The sequence below is a fragment of the Homo sapiens genome, chromosome 13 (assembly GCF_000001405.40).
Source record: "Homo sapiens chromosome 13, GRCh38.p14 Primary Assembly".
Lineage (NCBI taxonomy): Eukaryota > Metazoa > Chordata > Mammalia > Primates > Hominidae > Homo > Homo sapiens.
Genome location: NC_000013.11, coordinates 73,221,744 through 73,229,410, shown reverse-complemented (window position 1 = coordinate 73,229,410; position 7,667 = coordinate 73,221,744). Strand labels below are relative to the sequence as shown.

The 7,667-nt window shown below is 42.3% G+C and overlaps 1 pseudogene, besides 1 other annotated feature; it reads right to left on the bottom strand.

The window, feature by feature from the left end:
- Positions 2,151 to 2,264, bottom strand: RNY1P8 (RNY1 pseudogene 8; annotated as a pseudogene).
- Positions 4,434 to 5,633: an enhancer, noted in NCBI's record as "BRD4-independent group 4 enhancer chr13:73797915-73799114 (GRCh37/hg19 assembly coordinates)". NCBI's record gives its function as "activates an origin of replication core promoter dependent on BRD2, P300/CBP, MED14 and CDK7 cofactors, and independent of BRD4, by STARR-seq in HCT116 cells {active_cell/tissue: HCT116}" and the evidence as "EXISTENCE:reporter gene assay evidence [ECO:0000049][PMID:35650434]".

The following is a 7,667-nucleotide window of genomic DNA, read 5'->3' as shown; positions in this document are numbered from 1 at the left end:
CTGGAAGATCCTGGAACACTAACAATACTGGGAGTCTTTAACAAGCTCTAGACTGCCTCCCTCCAAACTTCTTTTAAAAGGAAGAGAAATAAACCAGCATCATTGAAACCACTGTTACTTTTTGCTTTCTGACATGTGCACCCAAACTTAATTCTAATTAATATAAAATTTGATACCAAAAGAGAGCTACTGCATTAGCTAAAATGTAGGATTCACTTAAAGGAGGTGTCTGAGTGACATAGAAAAGGTAAAACTATGATTGCATCTGTGAATAATCACTGCATTCTAGCCTGAGCAACATAGCAATACATCATCTCTTGGAGGGGGGGAAAATAAAACTCTTGCAGACTAGGGAACTGGTGATCCTAGTAAAAACAGTGACTAGCAGAACATTCAAAGGTGCCAACCAAGCCTGTGGCATTAGTGAAAATAGTATGAAAGTTTTAGAAGGGTGGTGTGTTTTGGCAAGTTCTGATACTTTCAACAAAATCCTACACAAAAGAGATAAACCTAGGCTAGAGCTAGTCAGTCTGCCAGCAGAGTGGAAGGAAATACAATTTTGCTAAGATGCCACAGCCAGCAGCTAGGTTAACAAGTCTAATGTGGAACATTTTCAGGCTGAAAAAGCTGACTACATCCTTACTTCAAAGTGAAACTATTATGAGCCACAGCCAGAGGCAAGAGCACAAGCCACCTTGTGGTTGTGCTATATTGTGGTTGATATATCTTATATCTTATAAGATATAAGACCATGACCCCACACCTTGTTCAAGCCTTCCCTTCAGGAATTTTCTATAGAACAAGGAAGCAGCAAATTTGCAAAGATCCCCATGCCTATTTTTCAAATCATCTCAAGTTAATTTGGGGGAAGAGAAGTTGGCAAAGCACAAAGGCCCGTATGTAATAAACTAGAGACTCTAGGCTCAAAAATTATATGAAAACAGGACCTCTGGTTCTGGTTATTCACATACAGGATGGAACAACAGCAAGAAGACTGGAAGCCCCTCAGATTTTTAGGGAACTGTGTTGCCAATGAAACCCCAAGCCTGGCATCATGATGTTGCAATCCCTAAAACAATCCAAGTCTCCAAACTTACACCAAAAAGAGGTGGGTGTGAATGCAGACCCCAAGAACAGTGTACTTTATAATGCTCACCTTGGAAAGATCACAGAGGAGAGGGGGCCAGAAAGAGTGTCTGAGAAGGTAAAACCAATGGCCAACAAGGACAACAGCCATGATAATAACTCCACTGCCTAGGCTGGAGTCTTCACTGTTCTGGCTCAGCATCATTTAAAAGTTGCTATGGCCCTCAAATCTTCTATTTTTCTCCTTTTCTGCATGGATACTGATATGGTTTGGCTGTGTCCCTACCCATATCTCATCTTGAATTGTAGCTCCCACAATTCCCACATGTTGTGGGAGGGACCCAGTGGGAGATAATTGATTCATAGGGGCGGTTTCCCTCATACTGTTGTGAATAAGAATAAGTCTCATGAGATCTGATGGTTTTATAAGGAGAAACCCCTTTTGCTTGGCTCTCATTCTGTCTCTTGCCTGCCACCATGTAAGGCGTGCCTTTTGCCTTCCACCTTCTACCATGATGTGAGGCCTCCCCAACCACGTGGAACTCTGAATCCGTTAAAGCTCTTTTTCCTTATAAATTACCCAGTCTTGGGCATGTCTTTATCAACACCATTAAAGCTCTTTTTCCTTATAAATTACCCAGCCTTGGGCAGGTCTTTATCAGCAGCATGAGAACAGGCTAATACAGATACTATATTGCAGTCACTATGTTCCTACTGCACCACTGAATATTGGTGCGATGGGCAGATAATTTTTTGCCAGACCATGATGATCCACACTGGGCACACTGGGATCTGACAGAGCCAAATGCACAACATGCAAAGATCTTTAACCTTGAGCTGGAGATTCTAACTGCATTGCACTTTGGGGTGTGTGCATTGGGAAGGGTGAAGGGTCTTGTGTGACAGGAAAGATGAAGTGAATATTTGGGGAATCAGTGGAGCAGGCTGGAGGAGACTGATAGTTTCTTACTCACTCTTTTTTTTTGTAGCAGAACCCTGAGGTTTTTTTTAACTGGGCATATTACCTATTGAATAAGCAGTGGAAAAACACTTGATTTTTTTTTTTAACACTAGTTAAGTGCAGTAGTGAGAAGTGGGGAAAGAATAGAACAAGGAAGTCGATCTGTCACTGACTGGGAACAATCAATTGAGGTAACTCACTACCTTATGGACCAGCCACAGTTGAAAATTTTGATTAGAATAATGCTTTAGGAAGATGACTCCAGCAACAGCAGATAGTCTTCATTAAAGGAGGGAGAGACTAAAAGGACAGATTCCGGATAGAAGGCTGTTGCAACATTCGAAGAAGAAGGAATGAGACCTAAACAAAGCTGGACACAAAATGAAAAGGGCTATGGGGACAGAGACTTGCAAAGTTGATGCTGCTCGATTTGGTGCAGAGGAAAGGAAAATACAAAATATGACTCCATGATCCCATTTAAATGTCCAGTGAGTGGTCATGTCACAGAAACAGGGAAACAAAATGAAGAGCAAGACCAAACCAACCAAAATAAGCTCTGGTGTGAATACACTAAGTGTGAGCTGTTGGCAAGACACCCAGTTGGATTCTGACACGTATTTAAGAGTCATTGAGGACAGAGACGTAGACTGCAGACTGGAAAATTATCTGCCAAGGATAATAATTATAAGAGAGACGTCGAAAGGATCATCATGAGAAAGTTGTTAGAAAGAGTAGAAGGCCAAGAACTGCTTACCAAGATTGAAAAATGTATTTTCAGAAGTTATTTCTTGTTTGGCCAGTCAAGTCTGGAAGAGTGGTTCTCAAAGTGTGGTCCCTAGATCTATAGCCTCAGCATTATATGGTGTTACAGACTGAATTTTGTCCCCCTCAAAATTTATATGTTGAAGTCCTAACTGCCAGTACTTCAGAATATGACCATATTTGGAGACAGGGCCTTTAAAGAGATGATTAAGTTAATATGAGGTCAGTAGAATGGGCCCTAATCCAATGTGACTTTTGTCCTCATAAGAAGAGGATATTTGAATACCCAGAAGAGATACCAGGGATGCATATGTGCCCAGACAGATTACTGTATGAAGAGACAGCCATCTGCAAGCCAGGGAGAGGGGCCTCCTGGAAACCAACCCTGCTAGCACCATGATCTAGGACTTTGAGCCTCTAGAGCTATGAGATAATAAAGTTCTGTTGTTTAAGCCACCCAGTGTACAGTATTTTGTTATGGCAGCCCTAGCCAACTAAAACATATGGGAACTTACAAGAAACTTGTAAAGAACTTGTAAACTCTCAGGGCTCATCCAGAATCAGAAACTACTGGGGATGAGGCCCAGTAATCTGTATTCTAACAAACTCCGAGAGAGATTCTAATGCACTGCTAAATTTGAGAACCACTGCTCAAGAATATTATGGCTCAAGAACAGAGGGAGTTAAAGTAAATAATATTTTTTACTTTTACCCAGAGTTGTCATATTCTTTTTTAAAGAATTCTTTGTGGCTCATTCCTGTAATCCCAGCACTTTGGAAGGCCAAGGCAAGAGGATCGCTTGAGCCCAGAAGTTTGAGACCAGCCTGGGCAACGTGGCAAGACCCCGTCTCTACAAAAATAAATAAAAATTAGCTGGGCATGGTGGTGAGCACCTGTAGTCCCAGCTACTCAGGAGGCTGAGGCAGGAGGATCACTTGAGCCTGGGAGGTCAAGGCTACAGTGAGCTGTGATTGTACCAGTGTGCTCCAGCCTGGGTGACAGAGACCCTGTCTCAAAAAAAAAAATAAAAATAAAAAAGAAAGAAAGAAAGAAAAAGGAATCCTTTAAGCAGAAGTAGGCAGTAAGAGTGTCTTAATCAGCTTCAGTTTTCATTAAAATTAACTCTGGTAATAACATCAGTATCAACAAAAGCATTCATTATGTATGTGGCTACTGGCCCTCATACTACAGACCAGTAGTTCCCAAATTTTAGGATGCCAAAAAAACACTTAGAGAGGTTTTTAAAAATGCAGTTTACAACACTTCGATTCTACTGGTCAGCGTGGTGTCCAGGACTTAAACATCTTTAACAAATATCATTTAACCCTGATGCAGATGTTAGTAAACCACAAATTACTTTTCTCTTATTCATTCAAGGAGTAGAAAGAATAGAACTGCTCTCTGGATAAGTTGAAGCAGTTAAGAGATCAAGTAAGGAAATCCGAATGGCTCAGAAAGAATCTTCAAAATGCTATTTCATTTAAGCCTTAGTCTTCTCAAACGACCTTTTTCTCCATCTACTCCAGGTGATGATAATTGCAGGGACTCTGTAAAGCCAGTCATTCATCCTGGGAATAGTGACTTCAGAGGCTGAAATTTTAGGTAACAGGTTCTGACTCATGTTCCTCAAATTCTCCCACTACTTTCAGATGTCACAATTTTTGGTTCTAGTTGCATCTGAAGAAGCCACATCAAGGCAGGTCACTACTGGTAACACCAAACAAATTTGATTTTTTTGGATTTCAATCCTAGACCACTTCCTGTTCTCCAAATAAGGAGAATCTGTCATCTTCCTTAGTACTCTACTGCAATAAGATACAAAATTTCACTCTTTCATTCACTGCCATCATACTACATAACACTAGAGGGAATGCTCCATTTTACCACAAACCAAATCTAAAGCATATGCTCAAATATAGAATTAAGGCATGCAACATTTGGGGCTAAATAAATATCACTTATATTGAAGATATTTTGAAATATCATGTACTCTCCACATGGCTATAGGTAAATCAGTAAAAAAAATTCGTTAATAACTTAAATAGACAAGCAGATCCAGGCTGGGTGTGGTGGTTCACGTCTGTAATTCCAGCACTTTGCGAGGCTGAGGTGGGTGGATCACTTGAGGTCAGGAGTTTGAGACCAGCCTGGCCAAGATGGTGAAACCCCGTCTCTACTAAAAATACAAAAATTAGCCGGGTGTGGTGGTGGATACCTGTAATCCCAGCTACTCGGGAGGGCAAAGCAGGAGAATCGCTTGAACCTGGGAGGCAGAGGCTTCAGTGAGCTGAGATCGCACCACTGCCTGGGCAACAGAGCAAGACTCCATCTAAAAAAACAAAACAAAAAAAACAAGACGACCCAATCTTTTATTGGTAACAGTTCAATTCTATTTCGTCTCTCCTAAGCAGTGAATTCTAGTTACTTACTCAGTTTTTCAGATCTTATAGTCAAAATACTATTGTTGAAACATTTAATCATTTTAAAACTTCCTTTCTATAACCACCCTCCCACAGATGAAGTTTCTATTCAAAACTTCCAATGTTACAACGCAGAAGCTACTAAGGCAGGAGAATCACTCCCTGATCTCCATGGAATATGAGCCACGGGCCTTCCTTCCTGAGAAAAAGAGGCTTCCAATGGCCCAAATAGCCAGGTGTGGTGGTGATAGTGGTGCATTTTTTTGCGACCTGTGTGAATCCAACGCAGAAACCTGAAATAAAATATTAAATATTAACAAAAACTAACTTGAAGTTTTTAAGGAGTTTGGGTTAGTTTAGACAAGTAGATAAAAATGATGAAATCGGCTCAGAAACAAACAAGAGGATTAAAATTACATAGGAGAAGAAAAGAGAAGCCAATGAGGACTATGATTCACCCAGTTTACGGCTTTATTAAAAGTCTCTTTGTTGAAAACCAGAGCTGGCCTTTTTGAAAACCCCACAGGTTTCATCTTCAACCATGCTCTGCGGTTAAGGGAGAAACACATGAAACTGCATTATGGGCACCCATGCTGGGTGGAGTCATTGTGAAGCCAAGTCTCACAGCCGGTGGCTGGGCCTCATGTAATGAACTTGACCCTTAAACCACACAAGGATAACCCTTTTTTTCTATCTCTCTGTGTCCCTCTGCAACTCTCCCTGTCAGCCCTCCCTGCCCCTTCTGAAGGACATGCCACCTCTCCACGGTCCTGGTCCCATTTTGAGTAGCTGATTCTCTCACTTCGCCTGGGTGCCACTGGGCTTCCTACTGACTCTGTTCAGGGGAGCTTGCAGGTCCACGCCCTGCAAAAGGAGGAGGTTTGTGGGTGCTTGAACACCTGTTCACTGGGACTGCTAAAGTCCCTTCCAATCTAGTTTCCATGAGGAATACTTATTCTTCCTATTATGATGACTTTGACTTTACTCCTTGAGAAATAATGACCCTAGCCTTATCTTATCACAGTACACTCACCTTTTCCTGGCCTGGCTTCTTCGTGACAAAGGGTCTCACACTAACAGACAACACCTCTGCTTGAGCCATCCCAATGAGTGACACCGTTGTCACTTACTACCTTCCTACTGTCAAGTTTCTTCCTGGACTTTGAGGGTGAAGAGATATCTATGAAACACCTAGAATTCCAGAGGGAGCCACTTCCCTTACCATTGAAAAGCCAGCCATCTATTCTGGAATAGGAGTCCCGCAGCAGTAGACCTGGTGAAGGGCTTGACCTGACTGCTGGTAACAGGAGGACTGCTGCTCCCTAGGCAGGGAGGAAGAGGTGAGGGTAGCACTGCCACCTCTTGGAGACTTAGGTGGCCCCGAGAAGTCCTCACATAAGACATTGTGTTATCATAAAGTGGATGAAGAAAGACTGCTAGACCAGGCTGAAGAAGAAAAAGCATGATAAATCAGAAAATAATGATGCTAGGCCGGGCACAGTGGCTCATGCCTGTAATCCCAGCACTTTAGGAGACTGAGGCGGGTGGATCACCTGAGGTCAGGAGTTCGAGACCCACCTGGCCAACATGGTGAAACTCCATCTCTACTAAAAACACAAAAATTAGCCAGGTGTGATGGTGCACACCTGTAATCCCAGCTACTCAGGAGGCTGAGACAGGAAAATTGCTTGAACCTGGGAGGCAGAGGTTGCAATGAGCCGAGATTGTGCCACTGCACTCTAGCAGCCTGAGTGACAGAGTGAGACTCTGTCTCAAAAAAAAAAAGAGAAGAAAAGAATGATTGATTGAATGAGTTGAATGAGTATGACTATAAAAGGTCTAGAGTGAACAAAATAAAAGGCAAATCTTTTTTGTAATTATTTTTTTTGAAACAGGGTCTCTGTCACTCATGCTGGACCAGTGGTGAAATCACGGTTCACTGTGGCCTCAACCTCCCTGGCTCAAGGATTCCAGCACCTCCGCTTCCATAGTAGCTGGAACTATGGGCATGCACCACCACACCTGGATTTTTTTTTTTTTTTTTAAGTAGTAAAGATCTGGGACACCCTGTGTTGCCCAGGCTGGTCTCAAACCCCTGAGCTCAAGCGATCTTCCTGCCTCAGCATCCCAAAGTGCTGGAATTGAGCCACTGCACCCAGCTTAAAAGGCAAATCTATTGGGTGTTGCTTAAACAATCCTATTTAATTTATTCCACCAGTCAATCAATATGTATTAAGCACCGAGAATCAGTTCAGTGCTAGATGGTGAATCAGATAATAACAGTCCTGGCTCCCATGGGGATTATAGTGTTGGGAGAAAGAGACATTTAAAAATAATTATCCATGTACTTATACAACATTAAGTAGGAAAAGTGCAAGGTGCTATGCGCATGTGTAGCCTCAGTCATGGCCTGGGGAGGGGGCAAGGAAGGTGTCCC